The sequence below is a fragment of the Homo sapiens genome, chromosome 3 (genome assembly GCF_000001405.40).
Source record: "Homo sapiens chromosome 3, GRCh38.p14 Primary Assembly".
NCBI lineage: Eukaryota > Metazoa > Chordata > Mammalia > Primates > Hominidae > Homo > Homo sapiens.
In genome coordinates, this window is record NC_000003.12 from 130,991,362 (window position 1) to 131,012,975 (window position 21,614).

General features: G+C 36.9%; 1 protein-coding gene across 23 annotated transcripts in view; it reads left to right on the forward strand.

Annotated features, from left to right (window-relative positions):
- ATP2C1 (ATPase secretory pathway Ca2+ transporting 1) overlaps positions 1 to 21,614 on the forward strand; it is a 166,118-nt gene that overhangs the window by 140,767 nt on the left and 3,737 nt on the right. For 8 of the 23 annotated variants that reach the window (NM_001378511.1, XM_047447960.1, NM_001199182.2 and 5 more), the window contains 8 exons: positions 1,590 to 1,640; positions 2,571 to 2,737; positions 4,682 to 4,750; positions 5,319 to 5,435; positions 6,245 to 6,392; positions 6,933 to 7,028; positions 8,157 to 8,298; positions 9,859 to 9,983. In NM_001378511.1, coding sequence (NP_001365440.1) covers positions 1,590 to 1,640; positions 2,571 to 2,737; positions 4,682 to 4,750; positions 5,319 to 5,435; positions 6,245 to 6,392; positions 6,933 to 7,028; positions 8,157 to 8,298; positions 9,859 to 9,983 — 915 coding nt within the window. Of the gene's footprint in view, positions 1 to 1,589; positions 1,641 to 2,570; positions 2,738 to 4,681; positions 4,751 to 5,318; positions 5,436 to 6,244; positions 6,393 to 6,932; positions 7,029 to 8,156; positions 8,299 to 9,858; positions 11,790 to 21,614 lie in introns of those variants that run through there. The other 15 variants (NM_001199180.2, XM_047447961.1, NM_001001487.2 and 12 more) reach the window with 4 other exon arrangements.

Genomic DNA, 21,614 nt, shown 5'->3' on the forward strand with positions numbered 1-21,614 from the left:
TCGTGTTTCACTGCAGTTGTGGTAACAGTATGATCATGGGATGGATTCAGAGAGAATGGGAGACAGCAAGTATAGGCTACTTGCTAAGGAGCTCTGCTCCAAAAATCCTCCCCGTTCCTATATCAAAATTTTTTCCTTGCTGCTGCACTTTACCATCAGTATACAAACATGTTTCCTCTTCCATTTAAAAAAAATAAAGAAAAAAAAGGGAAAGGGTGGCAGCTGAAATGGGAAGGGAAGAGAAGTGGTTTTTCTTTCTTTTTTTATATGGAAGGGACAACATGTTTTTGTATACTGACGGTAAAGATATAGCAGTGAGGAAAACATTTTGGCACAGGAGGGAGGAGAATTTCTGGAGTAATGGTCTTAATAGGTAAGAAGGTAGAATCTTTGACCTGCAGTAGATGCATATTGAGTTCATCTGTAGTAAAACCAGAGGTTAGTTCCTGGATACAGATACTGAGTTGGGGGAATTGTGGAAATTCTCTTCTGATTCTGATTTCTCCAAAGTAGGAAGCAAGGTGGTCGGCTGAGAAGGAGGCTAGAGAAAGGGGATAGATTGCAGGTACGAGGAGAGAAAACTAATATGAACTAATCCTCTAGGAGAATAGGAAAGAGAATGGTGTATTATGTATATTGAAATCACCATAACTTGTAAATATTGTTGGAGAGAGTGACATGGTAGTGAGGCAGAAGTTAAAATCATTGTGAAATGAGGGGCTGTGAACTCCGGAGCAGTGAATGCTTACAGTTAGTGAGTTACAGTCTCATCTGACATTCAGAACTGAGGTTTTATGAAGGGAGAATAGCGGATACCGTGTTCCACCTGTAGGCTCCCCCAGTGGTACTATTTGAGGAGGTTATAGGGATGGTAGTGTTTTGTGGAAACACTAGGTTAGAGCAAAGTACTATTTGAGGAGGTTATAGGGATGGTAGTGTTTTGTGGAAACACTAGGTTAGAGCAAAGTGAAAAAGAGTAAAAAATAGAGGAGATTTGTTGGAACACAGTGAAACGATTTTAGATCAGGAGATGGGGTCAGAAAAAAGGATTAAATATTTATTTTGGAGAGATAAAAATCATATAAGCAATTTAGAAGTACAGTGGAAGAGAGGCTAATGAGTTAACCTGAGTAAAAGGGAATGAGCAGACACTTGACACTGTAAAAAATGGCTCTACAGACACTGAGAAGCAGCTGTTCTTTATTGCTCCTGAAGACAGAACAAAGGGAAAAGGCTATTTTAGTTGTATGCGAGTGTCATAGGAAACAGACGCAAGAGAATTTTTCCTTTTTTTGTCTCTGGAACATTTCAAGAATAAGGCTGTTTTCTTTCCAGAGTTTACACATAATGATATAAATTGGATGACTTGTTTAGATTGTGTATTTCCTGTGGTACCTTTGGTAAAGATTGAAATGACCATGTCAGATTAATGTCTTAACAAACATATGTCATATTGCTTAAGCTTGATCTCAGTGGCAAATTAAATACAGCTTAAATTGATGAGTTTTTCATCATTAGTTATGAATGCATGGGTTATTCTGTAGAAATCTTAATATTGAAGATTTTTAGTGTATCTTGTATTTTAACAGGTTGCAGTATTTTACAGAGCTAGCCCAAGGCACAAGATGAAAATTATTAAGGTGAGTGTGTAAGAATCAGATTGTTTTATTTCTGTATACAAAATGCTGCTACTTTACTTTTGTTATGTTTGCATTACAGGGAGTAGAGCATCAAGGTCAGAAATACTGTGAAGCAAAACAGTTTTTTTTTTTTGTAAGAGCTTGACATAGAAACACTAATAGAGAATTTAGTTGGCATAAGATGTAGAAGAAAACTTGAATGAAGTATCTGCAAATACAGCCTTCTTTAAACAGTTAGACAGTATAAAACAATGTTCTAACTGGGGTCCATAGCCGAGTCATCCCAGCGTAAATAGCAGTAATTAGTTAGAAACTAAATAAATACAGCAAGGAAATAGTGTTGTGACAGTGTGAACAGTGCTTAAAAGGCTATGATTATTTATATTAATTAGTCAAATGTATTTAAACCAACTGATAGAGTATCCAGTAGTTAATGGTCTTAAGTTATGATAGCCAGCCATTGTGTAGTTCAGAGTTTCTCAACCTTGGCACCATTGACATTTTGGACTGGATAATTCCTTGTTGTGAAGGGCTGCCCCATATGTTATTGAATGTTTAGCAGCATTCTTGGCCCCTTCCCACTAGGTGCCAGTAACATCCCCCAAATCCTGATAGTCCAAAACATCTCCACACATTGTCAGATGTCCCTTGGGAGACACAATTGCCCCTGGTTGAGAATCATTGTATAGTTGTTTGAAGAACAGAATTTAGAGATACAGTTCTCACAGATGGGAATATTAGTAGCAACTTTTTCTAAGCTTTATCTTACTGAGATCTCCATTTGTTGAAGTTCATTGAACAATGGGTGGTCTATATTATTTCTAATCTTAATTATGTGAAAAAAATAGGGAGGATTTGTTTATCGCTTTGTATGGAAGCAACATTTTTATCAAAATTCCTTCCTCTCCCCTGTCCTCTGCTCCACTCTAGTCGCTACAGAAGAACGGTTCAGTTGTAGCCATGACAGGAGATGGAGTAAATGATGCAGTTGCTCTGAAGGCTGCAGACATTGGAGTTGCGATGGGCCAGACTGGTACAGATGTTTGCAAAGAGGCAGCAGACATGATCCTAGTGGATGATGATTTTCAAACCATAATGTAAGCTTTGTTTCAGTGAATGCCTATCAGAGAATCTTCCCCTATCCTTTCCTGTCCCCCACCCCTAGAGAATTCAACTGGAAAAGAATTAGTATTTAAACATTAGGTAAACTAAACCACTTTTCTAGGGTAATTATCCTATTTTATGGTATGAAGAAGATGATTTGTGTGGCTGGAACAGGCATAGTAAATGGCAGGACCCTCATTTAAGAAGTATTTGCCAAGTGCCAGCCACATTTCACCTTTTTCTGGGCACTAATATGATGGTATAGTAATGGCCTTTATTTTAGTTAAATTCAGGTAGTTAGAAATATGCATATGTATGGCTCTTTTTTTGGCTTTATAATAAATATTGAAAATTATGAAGTTTACATCCATACCTGTTTTTTATATCAGTAATTTATTCATCTTGCCCTCATTTAATGTTATAATTTATTAAATTTAAATAGCTCTATTTGTGTCAGCCACAGTTTCCAGTTGATTTAAGACTCCAGTGTAATACATGGTGGTGTCAGTTTCACAGTGTTCAGGTGGGGATCATGTGAATCCCATTTATTTATTTATTTATTTTTTTGGTAGCTACCTGTTGGATGACCTGAGTTTAGTGATAAATTCCAATTATATGTTCCAGGCTGCTTTATTACTCTGTTTTGGCCTACAGGGAAACATTTGGGAGCTTAGGACTCACAGTATTTGCCAAGCTTTTGCAAGGATATGAGTTTTTTCTTTCCATTATTATAATTATATAGAAATCTTAGAAGAAATGGGGAGTTGATTAAAAAGCATAGATTTTCCTGGATTCAGCTAAATGAATGAGATAATTTATATGAATCCTTGTAAACCATGTTCTTCATTTAATTCCTCTGCAACATGTGATCTACTTGATGTGCAGGAGCAACACGTAGCTTAAATTCTATAATTCCTATATATCTCATTGCCATTTGATTCCTGACATGCATTAGTTTAAACCTTTACTCTGCATTTTGTACCACTAAGAAAAATGAGCTTAGAGGAAGGTGAAGAAGATAATCATGGCTGGGCAGGGTACCTCATGCCTGTAATGCCAGCACTTTGGGAGGCTGAGGTGGATGGATCACTTGAGCCCAGGAGTTCGAAACCAGCCTAGGCAACATGTCAAAACCCATCTCTCCAAACAATACAAAAAAAATAGCTGGGAGTGGTGATGTGAGCCTGTGGTCTCAGCTACTCTAGAGGCTGAGCTGGAGGATTGCTTGAGCCAAGAAGGTCGAGGCTGCAGGTAAGTCAAGGTTGTGCCACTGCGCTCCAGCCTGGGAAGCAGGGCAAGACCCTGTCTCAAAAAAAAAAAAAAAAGATAATCATTTTATGTATTATGAATGTGAAGTATTTTCTCTTGTGTGAAGAGACAATGCATGATTTTAATGTTGAAGTATCTTCTTCAGAATAAGAATTTTAATATTGTGACAAATTAGTTCAGGTAGAGCTTAGGCTTGACTTTAATTCTTTGCTAAAATAAATGTTTCCATATTGATACATGTGTTGTATTAGTTGGAATTTTATTTTATTTATTTGTTTGTTTGTTTGAGTCAGTCTCACTTTGTTGCCAAGGCTGGAGTGCAGTGGTGTGATCTTGGCTCACTGCAACCTCCGCCTCCCGGGTTTAAGCGATTCTCCTGCCTCAGCCTCCCGAGTAGCTGGGATTACAGGCATGCGCCACCACACCCGGCTAATTTTTGTATTTTTAGTAGAGACGGAGTTTCGCTGCACCATGGTGGCCAGGCTGGTCCGAACTCGTGACCCCAGGTGATCTGCCAGTTTCGGCCTCCCAGTGTGCTGGGATTACAGGCATGAGCCACAGTGCCCGGTTGGAAATTTATTTTCAAAATTAGCTCTACAGTGTTTTAGTATAGATACATTTTTGTATGATAATATTTTCTCACTTCATCTTTATTTTTTAAATTTCAGGTCTGCAATCGAAGAGGGTAAAGGGATTTATAATAACATTAAAAATTTCGTTAGATTCCAGCTGAGCACGTAAGTTTGCAAGAAATTTGTCACCATGGGTCTTCTGGATAAATTATATGAAAAGTAGAACTTAAGCAGAATGCCTAGAAACTTCTCTGCCTTATATTTGTGAGCATTGTTCATATGTCAGTTTTCCAAAAAGAAAATTTATTGTATTCTGAAATTTTAAATGGCATGATAAATAGGTTGTAAATGTAACAGTTAGATGTCTGTATCATCAAAATGTATAAATCTTTGTGATTTATTTAATAGCTCACATCTCATTGTTTCCTCTTGGTATCTTTTTCCAAAAGTAGAAGGGGTATTGTGTAGTCAAAGAACAGTTACCAAAATATTGTTGAAACTATCATGCAGATGTAAAAATTCTTTATTTGTTCCTGTTGTCTAAACATCTTGAAAATCCTTTGTTAAAATACTCTTAGCTTTAAAATGTCCACGTGACTGAAGAATAGTTTACTTGAAACAGTCTTCCTTTAAAAGCATAGTAGTAAGAGATTTTTAAATGCTAAAAAAGTGGTATCATAGAATCAACAGATTTACTCTACTGATATTTTTAAATGACTCTCTTTTTCAACAGGAGTATAGCAGCATTAACTTTAATCTCATTGGCTACATTAATGAACTTTCCTAATCCTCTCAATGCCATGCAGATTTTGTGGATCAATATTATTATGGATGGACCCCCAGCTCAGAGGTACGAGTTTTTTAATTGCATGAGCTGGAAAGACAAGGAATGTGTACTACCCTGATAATTAAGTTTTAAAACTTGATTTATGGACAGTGTTGGAAAACTTTGCAGCAAATGTTTTAACATTTATGTTATAAATTGTGTGATGTGTGTATTTTATTAATTCTTTTTGAGTGTGCATGCAGTGTAGATCTGAGCCTTTCCACTGTTAGATGCCTAGCCTAAGGTTGAGAATAGATCAGGAATAGGTGCTATCCCTGTCCTCAGGAAGTAAGTAAGCCTTTTATTTCTAAGAAATGGGTATAATGGAGAAATTTCTGGGTTCAGTTTTATTATCTAGGTTCTACTGTCAGTTTTAGAGACTTTGGGAAAGTATTAGAGGACCTGAGTGTCATAACTTTTTTAAAAAATTTAATAATAATGGGGTAGTTGAGTGATAGATGTCATTTGGCCACTCCAGCAAATCATCCCAGTTAAAACCTCTTTATATGAAAGATATTTCAAAATTCAGTCGGTAGGTCATGTATTTCACACCGTATTTGAAATAGGTAAACTTACATGTAAATGAATTGGATGGTTTTTTGAAAGTTGATTATCTATCCCCTATCAAATTGTGCCAAACAAATAAAGAGGAGAGAAAAAGTGACAAAATCAGTGGTTATTTTTGCGTAATCAGCCAGCGTTTTATGATGCAACATTTTGTTTCTATAAGAAAGCATTTAGTTTGCCGAATAATTGAGGTTAGTGAGGTTGTGAAAGTAACAAATCCAGACCTTAAAACTTGAAAGTAATTTATTTTTCTGTTTGTTTTTAAGCCTTGGAGTAGAACCAGTGGATAAAGATGTCATTCGTAAACCTCCTCGCAACTGGAAAGACAGCATTTTGACTAAAAACTTGATACTTAAAATACTTGTTTCATCAATAATCATTGTTTGTGGGACTTTGTTTGTCTTCTGGCGTGAGGTATATTCACTGGCCAAGCTGCTATATTAACATGAATTCTGTATATCTGATAGGATTCTTAGTTATTTTGATGGGTTACCCAGAAGGCTGGGAAGTTAAGGGAGCTCTTTTAGTGAAAAATATAAGAACATTTTAAAAGAGTTTGATTTCCATCTTTATGGATAAATAAAATTATTGATTCATGTATTAGAATAAATCTGCAGAGAAGTATCAGTTACAATAAAAATACATGAAAATTTAGAGAGAAGTTGGAAAATCTGAGTCTTAAAATCATAGAGCCACTTTATTATTTTTAAATAATAACAGTATTTTAATATCTAATACATAGTTCATGAGAAGTTTTTTTTTTACTTTTTATTATGTAGATTACAGCTATTCACTAGGTGATTTATAGGAAATTTAGGTAGCTTTTATGTTTCATGTGTTAGGCTAAAGTTATTTCTTCCTAATGGAAAGAAAATGTTTATATTTTTTAAAAAGCAGCGATTTATCCATTAAATTCAGCCACTGAAAAGTAATTTTGTTATTGCCTCTTGACAGCTACGAGACAATGTGATTACACCTCGAGACACAACAATGACCTTCACATGCTTTGTGTTTTTTGACATGTTCAATGCACTAAGTTCCAGATCCCAGGTATGTTTAGGTGAACTTAGTTGATTGACTTGATTGACTCACTTGAGTAGAGTGCTTTCTAATAAGTAGGCAAAGATTATGGGTTTTTAGCTTTGCTTAATTTTGTAGCCACAGATTGCAGCCCCAGACACAGCCTTCTTATAAACATGTGCCATTGGTCACAATGAGGATGGGGCATTTGTGGGAGGTAAGCTTTATGTCTGACTAGAACATAAAAGTATTAATAATTCACAGGTGTTGTCATCTGCGTTTAGCTGGCTATAGCTATAAGATAGATCGTGGTTAACATTATTTGAGCATAGAACAAACCTCATAGTTTCTGTTGAGATTTTATTAGTCTCATTTTAAAAGACAGTATTGCTAGGAGTATAAGAGCAGTTATGTGCCTATTTTTTTTCCCATCACTCCTGTCACTGTGTCAAAGCTTAGGACATTCTAATTTTGCTTTTCTTCCCTTGTTGTATCTTAAGGTGTGACTGCTGCTTCTTGGTCTAAGTGTTTTGATAGAAAATAATGGGCTAGAGCTTTATGGTACTTTTTTAGAGCATATTGTCCTTAAAAACTAGTTTCATTTGAGGCATGACTATTCATTTCAGCTTTAAAGCACTTTATGAATCCTTAACTATATTACCATTTGCCATGCTGGAACTTCTGAGTACAGCGAATTCTCACTAATTGACCAATTTTTGAAGAAGCTGTAATATTTATTTTTTTATGAAAAGTGGTTTTACTTTTTCAGTACACACACAATTAGGTCCATTCTCCAAGAAAGGATTTTAGATTATCTACCTTAGTGAATGTATAGAAATGATTTAGCAAAATACAAATAAAGTTTCTTGATGTTTGGGATGTTAAAAGGTTTCTTTTCTTTCTATGGTCTAAATTATATAGTGTCACTTTTTAAGCAAGCCTTTTCTTGATAAATAAAATAAAAGCTACTTTAATATTTACTTTTATTCCATCTGAATTATTCCAAAACAGTAGTAAAATTTAAGATATTTCATAGAATTGACATTGCACAATTCAGTGATAAAGTGACACTGCTTGTTAAAAATTAGAAGTGAATATAATAAAGAAGTTATTTCTGTGACCAAGGAGTAATAAATGAACTCTCTGCTCTGCCAACAGACCAAGTCTGTGTTTGAGATTGGACTCTGCAGTAATAGAATGTTTTGCTATGCAGTTCTTGGATCCATCATGGGACAATTACTAGTTATTTACTTTCCTCCGCTTCAGAAGGTTTTTCAGACTGAGAGCCTAAGCATACTGGGTAAAGAAAACGTTATCTTTATCATTTATGTATTTTAGATAAATCATATTTTCTAATGTGTTTGTTTTAATTTTAAAATTCTTTTAAAATAGCAAAATAAGTAACTCACTTGATTTGAAAAAGGAGTCTATTTTTTCACTTGGGGAAGCTCAGGGGAATTACTCTCCTAACTCCAGGGTTTTGGTTTTTGCTCTTTTATAGGTTATCAATTGTTATAAAAATCATAATACGTGATTCTCAAATATAGCAAATCAAAACCTGCTCTAGAGTATAGTTTATAACTTTTTATGTACTATGCCATCTTGTATGAAGAGAAAACTAGACTTAATCTCCCTGAAAACCAAGTTGCTCTCTTCTTTAAAGTTAGAATTTTCAGTAAACTAATAATTTCATTATTCTTTCTTGTTTGTACATTCTAATTTCACAAAATGTCAGTCTGACCAAATAGCAGAATGTTTTATAAAGACTATTTGGAAATTACACATTTTTCTTACATTACCATTTATTAAATGTATAATACAGTGCATTTAAAAATTAGTTTTCCTGTGTAGGTGTGAGGAATGATATATTTGACAGTAATGCTATCCTTTATTGAGTTCTCAATTTGGGTATTTATGAAAAGGAGTTATACAGTTTCACTGTATTTTTTCTTGTAAGTTAAAATTTACCTTAAAATTGAACTAGTTGAATTTCAGTATTTTAATTCCATATTCACATTTCTTCCTCTTTTTAAAAAAATGGCATTTTAAGGAAACATCTGCAATTTTCCAAGCAGTAAATAAGAATTGAGATAGTGTGGATAGTATTGTAAAGACAAGTCTTCTATGCTTTGAAATAGAACATATTAATGTCAAATTTTTAATCTTCAGATAGGCATTGTCATTCAAATTGTCTACTACTGTTGATACAGTACTTTTTTAAAGGGCTGTGTGATCTATGAAATAAACTCCTTTTGTTGGTGATACTGTTAAAGGCTAGCCACATAAGGTTTCAGGGAAAGTGGTCAGAGGACTTGGGTTCTAATTCTGGCTGCTGCCTTTCCTAGTTATGTGACTTTGGATAAGTCACTTAATATCTTTTTTTCTTTTCTTATTTTTAACTGAGGGTGATTGTGCCTGCCTTATGGAATAGTTGTGAAACAATGTGTTTGAAAGCTGTGGTGGCCAGGCGCCATGCCTCACGCCAGTAATCCCAATACTTCGGGAGGCTGAGGCAGGCAGATCACTTGAGGTCAGGAGTTCAAGACCAGCCTGTCCAAAATGGTGAAACCCCCTCTCTACTAAAAATACGAACATTAGCCAGGTATGATGGCACATGCCTGTAATCCCAGCCACTTGGGAGGCTGAGGCAGGCAAATGGCTTGAACCCAGGAGGCGGAGGTTGCAGTGAGCTGAGATCATGCCACTGCATTCCAGCCTGGGTGACAGAGCAAGACTTCATCTCAGAAAAAAAAAAAAAAAAAAAAAAAGTTGTGTTAAAATGCTAGAAAAATGTAAGCTATTAAGCTTTGCAACTGTAAGTTTCAAAGAAATGTAAAACCCAACTTATTTTCTCTTGCAGATCTGTTGTTTCTTTTGGGTCTCACCTCATCAGTGTGCATAGTGGCAGAAATTATAAAGAAGGTTGAAAGGAGCAGGGAAAAGATCCAGAAGCATGTTAGTTCGACATCATCATCTTTTCTTGAAGTATGATGCATATTGCATTATTTTATTTGCAAACTAGGAATTGCAGTCTGAGGATCATTTAGAAGGGCAAGTTCAAGAGGATATGAAGATTTGAGAACTTTTTAACTATTCATTGACTAAAAATGAACATTAATGTTAAAGACTTAAGACTTTAACCTGCTGGCAGTCCCAAATGAAATTATGCAACTTTGATATCATATTCCTTGATTTAAATTGGCTTTTGTGATTGAGTGAAACTTTATAAAGCATATGGTCAGTTATTTAATTAAAAAGGCAAAACCTGAACCACCTTCTGCACTTAAAGAAGTCTAACAGTACAAATACACTATCTATCTTAGATAGATATATTTTTTTTTATTTTTAAATATTGTACTATTTATGGTGGTGGGGCTTTCTTACTAATACACAAATAAATTTAATCATTTCAAAGGCATTCTATTTGGTTTAGAAGTTGATTCCCAGGAGTGCCATATTTCAGCTACTGTATTTCCTTTTTCTTGTAATGTAAGCAGCTCAGATACCATGTGCTATCATTTTTGTATCAAGTTTTTTGCACAGGATGTGACCACTGTCAGATCACTGTTCTTTTCTTTCTTTTTGTGATTGAAAAGCCTATACTACAATTTGAAGTAAATTTTTGTTTTTCTTAGTAAGTGTAAATGGTTGCTTTATTTTTATTTTAAAAAGGTATGTCTTTGGTTTGGCAGAATTCATGCAGGGCTATCAAGTGGTGTTCTAGGGTAACAGTGTCCATAATTAACGCTTAGTCATAGAGTCAAAAACATTTAAGACTGATTGGGTTGAAGTTTATAATAAATTATATTAACATGTCTTCCTTTTTGAGGTAAAGATATATACTTTGTCAAATATCATTTTGTCATCCTCTAAATATAAATCCAAATACCTCAGCTAAGTAATTCTATTTTATTATTTTTACTGTTATGTATGTTTTTAATCATATTTCTTAGGAAGTATAGGCTACTGGACTTAGAATAAAAAGTCCCCAAACCCAAACAAATGGTTTATGAACCAGAGTATATGTGGAAGATTCTTTGCTGGTCTTGCTCTGTGTGCATCTGAAGCTTCTTTGGCCTAGATTTTAGCACAAACCTGAGTATATCTCTTCTACTTTCATCATGTGTTCTGTACCTTCTTTTTGTTTCATTGGGCATGCTAGGGAAATAGGTGGATTTTGTGTGTAATGCCATCAGTTTTTATGAAAGCTTGATGAGGTATAGGTCATTTGTTTTGAGTATGTGGGCCAGAAATTTAAAATTAGAAATTTGTTTTTCTGTTGAGTATATAAACAAAAATTGGTCCCAATTCTAACAGGTTTAATCCTTCTTGAAGCCAATAAGTTTTATCTTTTATAATCTGTCAGGATGAACCACTCCTTAGCTTTTATCCAATATTAAACTGCAAGTGTTAGCACTGAAATATTGTCATTGATAGGGAAAATATCTATTCTTTGAGTCATTGTTACTGAGGCAGTTGAGTGTAAGGAGCTGGCTGCAGTTTATTCTACTTAACCCTTTAAGGCTGAATTGTCAAATGTACATTGTTCCATGTCGTTAGATGGAACATGGAAGCCATTGTCTAATCAACTCTATCATTAGTGACTTGATGTCTCATACCTTAATTTTGTAATGATTTTTATTCTCTGTTACAAAGACTTGAAATACGTATTAAATGCACGTTAATGTTTTGCTTTGCATTTTAGGTTCAGATTATGACTTGATTGAAATAAATGTGCCTATACATTCATTTGCTTTGTACTATAAAAATAAAAATGATTTCTTAAGTTAATGACATCCCAGTGGGGACTATTAGCATTAAAATTATCCATATGGATGCTGAAGATACAGAAATTAAAATTATCCATATGGATGCTGGAGAATGCATAGTACACAGAATCTATGATTTAAAAAGAAGTTGAATGTACAGTACAGATCCAGATTGCAATTTTCCATAATATATTAATCCAAGTTGACATGGATGAGTTAAATGGGCTAGTATCTAAATTTTAAATTTTTACCCTATTTCCTAATCCTAGGACTTGCTAGAGTCCCTAACAATACTAACTTACTTGATGTTTTTCCCTGTTAGACTACCTTATGGAGTTATTTGGCCCCATAATGGCTAAACATCAGGGAAGAAAAGAAAAGAACTTAAAATAATTCACTGATTAGGTAAACAGTTCTGAAATGATCAAAACTGGCCACACAGAACAAGGCTGAACATGTTGTGTCACATTTGTGCTGGACATTGCATGACCCAGAGATGAAACAAAAGTGAAACCATGAAACCCGAAGACCCTCCCCTCTCAGGATACAGGCTTTATTTATATAGCAGTAACCACCCTCACAAGAATAAGACACATTATTTACCTGCCATGCCCATGTAGGGTATGTATTTTACATTGGTAGTCTTTTTGAGATCACTTAAGTTTTGGTCTCCTTGATATACTATATAAGTAAAGTAAGTATTGGTCACACTTAAAAATAGTTTCTCACTGAAATGAATTGGAGGCAAACAATAAACATAATATTTAGGAAACTTAATTAACTCTACCTTGCTTTCTGCCTCTGTCACTTGGCAATTCACTTCCACATATGACTCACCCATGAAGTTAGATGATGAACTGGTTATCTTTTCATTACATTTTTTTAGTACCTGGAGTGTGCTAGAAGTAGAACGATAATGGCATCCCTGCCCTGTAGGAGCCCATGAACACAGATAGCAGGGGATATAACTGCTAATAAGCTGTTTCAAGAAAGTAAATAGGGATCTTTGCCCATTTACTTTAAAAATACACATAGATTAAAATGAGTCCAGTGCACTTTTCACTAGATGTTTCCTTGACATTGGCATTTGAAAATCTTTGAAGTGCTTTTTAAGACTGAGCTCCTGCAATCCAAACAGCAGCTGATTTGCATACTAAAACGTGGTATGGATGTTCATCCTTAACTAGTACGTGATTGGACAGACAGATCATTCTGATGGTTAAGTTTCCTTGAGCTCAGTTACCACTTGAACTATTAACTCTTATTTAATGACATTGTTTTGGGTTTTGGTTGTCAAGAGTTGGTTATTGTTAATAATGGATAATGGTTAACCAGTCCCTGGTATTAATGTAGATACAATTGTCCATAAACATTGTTGTAGGTTTAGATTTAAAAAGAAAAAGTAGTATCATGCCTTCAGGAAGTTTTCAGTCAGTTCTGGAGACCAATGTGAAATATATCCACTAGAGTGGTAAATGCTGTCCAGAATGCTACAGTAGTTGAAGTAGAGAAATAACTTCATGGGATCCTCAAAGAAATTTGTCATAGAAATTTCCTAGAACTAATGACAGCTGAATCAAATTTTAAGTTGGGAAACTCCAGCTGAGAAGCAGTAGGACAGTGCAGCCAAACAGCAAAGCCTCTGCAGAGGTGGTGGTAGGGGCTATAAGGAATCTGTGAAAACCACAATGAGTTTGACACTGTTAAGGCAGGAGGTACAGTGTGAAGGGTTGGAGAGATAGGCAGGAACCTAATGCTGAAAGCAGAGACATTTGATTTGTCTGATAGCATGCCAGGGCATTTCAAGAGTTTGATGTGAGTTTGGATTTTTGTATCGTAACATGCTGATGGAAGCACAGAGGGTCAATTGTGAAGACTGAAATAGGGAGACCAATTAGAAAATCAAGGAAGCTTAAGGAGTAAAGGGATAATTGAGCTGTGGCAGTCAGGATGGAGAGAAAGGCATGGAATTTGAATTGTCTTTTTTTTTTTTTTTTTTTTTTTTGAGGCAGGGTCTCACTCTGTCCCCCAGGTTGGAGTACAGTGGTGTGATCTTGGCTCACTGCAACTTCTGCCTCCCAGGATCAAGCGATCCTCCCACCTCAGCCTCCTGCGTATCTGGGATTACAGGTGCACACCACCATGTCTGGCTAATTTTTTTGTATTTTCGGTAGAGGCAGGGTTTCACCATATTACCCAGGCTGGTCTCGAACTCCTAAGCTCAGGTGATCCACCAGCCTTGGGCTCCCAAATGCTGGGATTAGGTGTGAACCACTGTGCCCAGCTTTGAATTTGTATCTTCTGAGAGATAGCATTGACATGACTGGACAGGAGAAAAGGAAAATGGAAAAGATACTAGTCTGTGGCCTTTGGCTTGAATAGTAGAGCTATTAGCAGAAGAACCTAAGCTAAGCAGGGTTTAGTGGGACACAGGTCCATCTGAAATGTACAGCTTGTGGTGTCTTTGAGATTTCCCAGACGGATGTGTTAATCAAAGCTATAGCTGACTAATTATAAGCTAGTAGAAAAACAAGCATCCATTTTTTTTGTTGTTGTTAAATTAAGCGATAAGTCAAAGTAAACTCAGCTTTCACAAAATAAGATTTTCTTTAAAAACTTTCCTTTAGCATAGTTATTAATCAGCAAACAGTTGTGTAAATTCAAAATGCAGAAGGACAAGATAATATTTCAATCTCCTTTGTTGTTGAATGTTAATAGGGAATCTGTTATTAAGGTTACTGACTGGAAAACACTGATCTGAATTACTGGTAGCAATTTTTTTGATACATGTAGTAAGACACTTTCTAAGAGGTGAGAGCGTGTGTGTGTGTGTATATGTGTGTGTCTGTTTATGTGGCATACCACATAGCTTAAGGTATGCCACGTAAGGAAACCCCAATGAGTAAATAACATTACCATTAGAAAACAGCTACTTACTCTGAATGAGTAATTATGGCAGAAGAGTAGAAAACAATGTTGGTTTTTCATTTGTTTGTTTTTTGAGAAGGAGTCTTGCTCTGTTGCCCAGGCTGGAGTGCAGTGGTGCGATCTTGGCTCACTGCAACCTTTGCTTCCTGAGTTCAAGTGATTCTCCTGCCTCAGCCTCCCGAGTAGCTGGGATTACAGGCCTGTGCCACCATGCCCAGCTAATTTTTGCATATTTAGTAGAGACAGGGTTTTACCATGTTGGTCAGGCTGGTCTCGAATTCCTGACCTCAGGTGATCCATGCGCCTCAGCCTCCCAAAGTGCTGGGATTACGGGCATGAGCCACCACGGTTGGCCTGTTTATTTTTTTAAATTTTACTCGTAATTTTTTTGGCCTTTCTAGCCTCATATCCTACACAATGCTCCAATACAGTCCACTTCCAGATCATTTTGGACAGTGTTACTTTAAGTTGAAATCGTTTTTTCTCTGTCCCAATGTTGAGAATCAGAGCTTTTACCTCTACTTCAGAGCCCAGTGAAATGCCAACAAGAATAACCTTTCCAGATTTCTAGTGTGTGTTTGTGTGTGTGTGTGTGTGTGTGTGTGTGTGTGTGTAGTACAGTTTCTTGTACACTTTTTTTTTTTTTGGCAGGGTGTTGCTCTGTAGTGTGATCATGGCTCACTGCAGCCTGGACATCCTGGGCTCAAGTGATCCTCCTATCTCAGCCTCTCAAGTAGCTGGGACTGCAGGTGCATGCCACCATACCTAGCTAATTTTGTGTATTTTTTTTTGGTAGAGATTAGGTTTTGCCATGTTGCCCAGGCTGGTCTCAAACTCCTGGGCTCAAGCAATCTGCCCACTTTGGCCTCTCAAAGTGCTGGGATTATAAGCGTGAGCCATCACGCCCAGCCTCATTTCTTGTAAACACTCTTTGAATGTAGCAATAAGTTTGCATATAAAATTGTGGGATTTTATGTTTTAGAAAGCATTAAAAATTTAAGTTGAAAACACTTGTTGATAAATCTAAACAGAAATTTGGTGATCTCTTTCATTCAAAATTAAATGTCAAAGTTTGGGGAGAAAAGTGAAAACAATTATTTGAGCCATTAGTTTTTATCCTTAGAAATCCTTTTCTAATGTAAATCTGCTGGTGTTCTCGTGTACACGTGAACATATATGATGTAACAGCCTGTGCTTGCACAGCTGCTCCAGGTAGATGGTGTTTCATTTGCAGGTCACCGTACACACCTGATTTTGCTATTCCTATCCTGTTTTACGCAAATCTGGCCAAACTGACAAATATACTGACAAAGGCCCACATTTCTGTGGTGGCTTCATGGCTGTTAGGCCTGACAGAACTTCTTTTCATATTTAACCCAAGGGTGCCCCAGAATCATTATTTCTTAAGCAATAGTTGCATTGCTCTACTTAATAACCCTTTTGAGTAGAAACCACATCTCATTGTTATGAGCACTCAATGCCAGAAACTGAGCAAACTGTTCTATATAAATTCCAGAGATCCATTTTTGGGCTCTGGATTTGTAGCTTTTGAAAAATGTGCCTTTTAATACAGTTTTTTAAAAAATTACTAATCTTCTCAACTACATTAAAGAACTTTCTATTAAAGTTTTCTCTGATAAGTATACCAAAGTGCCCTTTAGTTGACAAGTGACAATTTGGTGCCATCTTAGGGTCATAAATAAAATACCATATAATGCCTGGACCATTGCTCTTATCAGGTCTGCATCTTGCAGGCATACTGTGAAACACGTGATATGTGCATCTTACAAATAGGTGACTGTAGAAAATGTATGTCTGATAGGAAAGACATGACAAACTTTACATTTAAGCATTATTAGATCAATTTTAACAAGCTATAAATTAGTATGTTTTAATTCCTATTCCTGTCTCATTCATCTGTGTGGTTGCGTAATAGGATTGCATTAGATTTTGTAAGTATTTTTCTATGTGGAGTGGGTCTGGATGGTTGGATGGTCCATGCATCAGCTAGAGGTATTACAAGTTAGGGAAATAGTTTAATTTGATCTTGTTTAACTCACCCACATGGAGCTATTATTTAGTTTTGGTGTAGAAACTATGGCCAGGCATGGTGACTCACACCCTTAATCCCAGCACTTTGAGAGGCTGGGGAAGGCGGGTTGCTTGAGGCCAGGAGTTCGAGACCAGTCTGGCCAACATGGCGAAACTAAAAATACAAAAATCTGTAGAGCGTGGTGATGCATCCCTGTAATCCCAGCTTCTTGGGAGGCTGAGAACCAGAACTGCTTGAACCTGGGAGGTGGAGGCTGCAGTGAGCCTAGATTGCGCCACTGCACTCCAGCCTGGGCAACAGAACAAGACTGTCTCAAAAAAAAAAAAAAAAAGGAAAGAAAAGAAAAACTGTGCCATGCTGGTCAAATTCTCCTGTTGCTTATTTTTGTAAATAAAGTTTTATTAGAACACAACTATCCACATTCATTTACAATATTGTTTATTGGCACTGTCATGCTGTGGCAGCAAAGGTGAGCAGTTGCAGCAAAGGTGAGCAGTTGCAAGGGACTATATGACCTGTAAAGCCTAAAATATTTACTATCTAGCCCTTTGTAGAAAGTTTGCCTACTCATTTAGATATTCAAAAAGAGGAAAATAGGCCCTGTACCTTGCATTCAGTGGATTAGAAAGGAAGTACCATCAATTTTCTCTACCCTCCAATCTCCCAACAGTATATTCTCTCTTGAATGGATGCTCTTGGTAGCAGATTTGATGTCAGTGACTACTCTGAGTCTCCATCAAGGCCCCCATGTAGAGAAAGTCAGAGTGTCTCAGACTGTTGTTAAAACATCATCAACCAGGAGGACATGCCATCACATTATCAAGGCTTCTTGTTCTTACAGTGGCTGGAGTGTTCTGATCTGCCGTCCCATCTGAATTGTGCTTCCCATCTCTCTCTCTTTGCTCACCCAATTTTTTATCCATCTGAAGCAGTCTGCTCCTATCTGGTTGATGGGCTCACTTCTACCTCTTGGATGCACAAGAGAAGTGGAGGTTTCCCTCCTATTGGTTGTACAAACCCAGAGAAATAAAGCTTAATCTGAATAGGCTTAAGTATGTTATCTTGCTTAGAGAAGACAACATTTAGTAATAGCAGAAACTAAACTATCCTAACAGCTCAGTCTTAGGGAAAAAATATACTCACTAACTCATTTTTTCAGAACAGAACATTCTAAACCAAAACATATTTGCATAGTTCCCACAGATACCAAAAGGTGACTGTATATGTGCATGTATACATAAATATAAAAATATATTTATATTTTGAGAGAAAGACTTAGCTATTTTAACCAAATAGAATGTTTTCAGGAGTAGCAGGAATAGAAGAGATTGCATGTGCATTGTAGCATGTTCATTTTTCATTTGATTTCTGTCCCTAAAAACAGAATCCAGTGAAACTAGCTGGAAATACTTCTTTCATGTATTATCTCATTCATTTACTTCTCTCATTTTAACAGACTGTTATATGGCCTGGTGCAGTCACGCCTTTTAAATTTTAAAACTTCCTTCCTTAACATGAAGTTCTCGTCTTAGAATTTTTACAGCTGGATGGACTTGAATTTGGTATTACTCACACCTCTGGAAAGAAATGCAGAAGCAGCTTATCCTGTATGGCTCAGAAAGCTGTTGCTGAAAGTGGGGTGTAATGTTTTTAATACATTTTTCCAAGAGTAGTATTTAATTTCAAATTGGTACAAGATGCAGAATCACTTTCAGCTGTGATGACTGAAATGTGTCATTAAGACATTACGAGATAAACACCAAGTACCCCACATCTGTCTTATTGAAAATACAGTGTCATATTTTGAGTCAGGCACCACTGAAAGTTTATCCTTTTATGGAACTTCCTGGTCTTGGTAGTGACAGCTTTCCAGGTGCTGCTCAGGTAAATGGTACACCAGCCAGCCAAACAGCATGTGGTAGAGAGCAGCACCCAGTGAAATCTGGCAAACTTGCTAGGGGGAAAACTGGGTTTGGCCTCCTTAGGATTATGGAGTAGGGCCAGGTTATAACCCTGGTAGTTGCAGGAAGAGGAAATTCCTAGGAAATGGTAATATCTGCTCTTCATCTTTTTCTATCTTTTTTTTTTTTTTTTTTTTTGAGATAGAGTCTTGCTCTGTTGCCCAGGCTGGAGTGCAGTGGAACGATCTCGGCTCACTGCAAGCTCTGCATCCCGGGTTCACACCATTCTCCGGCCTCAGCCTCCCAAGTAGCTGGGACTACAGGTGCCCGCCACCACACCCGGCTGATATTGTTTTTGTATTTTTAGTAGAGACGGGGTTTCACCATGTTAGCCAGGATGGTCTCGATCTCCTGACCTCGTGATCTGCCCACCTCAGCCTCCCAAAGTGCTGGGATTACAGGTGTGAGCCACCACGCCCGGCCACCTTTTTCTATCTTTAAACATGCCAAGGGCTCTTTCAAATTGGGCTTTAAAAACACTACAGAAAACTCTCTGAACATAGGAAAAAGGGCTCAAGGGGGACAGGTACTCACATGGGGATAATTCCTTCTGGTCTTTTTTCATTATTTTCTAAGTTTGAGCTTGGCTGCCCATTGAAATTGTCTTGGTAGTTTTCTACCCTTTCCAGTGTGGCTACGGCTGGAGTTGCTATAATATTCTCACATTCCTGCCCATCTTTCTTCTTCACCATATTTGATAGTGTTGATCTCCTTTGCCTCTGCAAAATTCTGCTCTTAAACCTGTGGCAACTCTGGTCTCACGTTGTCTTAATCTTTGTACTGCTTAACACTCACTCACTTCTTCCCACATTCCTTGCTTTGCCCTGGCTTTTCATGTGCGGATATAACAATGGCTATCACTTATAACACACTTTTAGTATCAGGCACTGTGCTAAGTAACTTAAATATACTTGTTATTGTATCTTTTACACAATAATTTGGACTGTTATAATCCTTATTTTGCAAGTAGGGCAACTGAGGCATAGTCATTGATTTATTTCCTTTTGTGCACAAAGGAGAAAAAGATAATTCTAAGGGCTTTTTAGCTATGGTCTTTATCTTCTGAAATTCAAATTCAGATGTCAAAAGGTTAATTTGAATTCTTTCCCCATGATCAAATGGCATGAAAGACCTGTGATTATATTTACAGGATGCATATTAAACTTTCAAGGTCCAGGTGTCTCAAAAAGTGCTTTTAAAAAATAGACTTCCAGTATAATTTTATCACCACTAAATACAGAACATGATTAGGTTATAGTAAAAGTTTTCCTGTCTCTGCAGCTTTCTCTCTAAAATTTATTCATCTTAGCTGCCCAGAGTTCCTTTTGTTACTTGAACTGCTAATTGAAGACAGTTTCCAAAGCCTAAGATGAGATTTCATTTGTTAGAACTGAATTAGAAAGAGCAGGACCTAATCACTTGATTGCAAACATAGGAAACTAGATTTTGGAAAGGGAATATGGGATGTACAATATTCTGCTTCTACACAGGTGTTCCTAATGTATATCTGATCTCAATTTTAAAATTCCTATTCTTTAAAGCCAGGTCAAAAGCCAGGTCTGAGAATCTTCTTGTGATTTAACCTCTTCTCATCCTGGTGACCGCTGTTTCCTTATTGTAGTATTCAGTCTGCACTTTGCCATTTTGCACTTGACAGACTGCTTTATGTAAGGGTAAAAACCACAGTTACTTTTGCACCAACTTAATAAAATAATCTCTTGTCATTTCATTGTGTGTTGTCTCCCAAGCAGCCTGAACAAGAATGTCTTCTGCAGGGGGTTCAGGTGCTATGTCATCATTTTTCGGTGAACCACCTTACATACTCCTGTGAAGTGCCTGTGACCTCTCATCTAATACATGTAGGAGAAGATATACACCAGAGTAGTATACTTAAAGGGACATTATTAGACTGTCACTGCTTTACTGCAAGGCTGGATAATTTCAGTGGAATGGTCCTGAGTGCCATGGTTAGAGAAAGGAACCTGACTTATTACTTCTGCTGGAGGAGGACACTTTTAATGAAAGAAAAACATGGTAGATGTAATTCAGTGGTTTTAAGAAGCAGTGTTGATGATAACCCAGGAAATGGGACAGTTATATTAATATAGTCTCCAGATTAGCTTCAAACTCCAGGAATCAAGGTAGGGAGGATTTGATATAACAACGGTCTTACATGGTTTTTCTTTTTTCTTTTTTTTTTTTTTTTTGAGACAGTCTTGCTCTGTCACCCAGGCTGGAGTACAGTGGCGCCATCTCGGTTCACTGCAGCCTCTGTCTCCCGGGTTCAAGCAGTTCTCCCGCCTCAGCCTCCTGAGTAGCTGGGACTACAGGTGCCCTCCATGATGCCCGGCTAATTTTTGTATTTTTAGTAGAGACGGGGTTTCACCATGTCGGCCAGGCTGGTCTTGAACTCCTGACCTCAAATGATCTGCCTGCCTTGGCCTTCCAAAGTGCTGGGATTACAGGTGTGAGCCACTACATCCAGCACCGGTCTCACATGTTTATAGTCCTCATTAGATACCTTATTTTCCAGTAACATTTCTTCTCAAAAATAGATGTACTTGACTACTCTTTTCTTGATTCTTCTGGGAGTAACCATCTCTTTGGAGATGGTTGTTAGTAAGGTTATAAAAATAACCTTACTGAGGAACTCCCATGCAATCCTCTGAAAATAATAAAAATTTCCTTATTTCAAGAACTCTTATTTAACAAAGTAATTGTTAGGGTTGAATACTCTAGGGGCAAATGATTTATTGTGCCTTTTGTAAAAGTCAACACTTGGCAGGTGTGTGTTTGACACTGGCTGATGCTGGGCTTATTTCTCTAAGAGTATGGTAATTCTAGTAAAGTAAAGAAAATTGTTTATCAGATATTAGGAACTGTACATAGGCCTGCTCAAAATGGC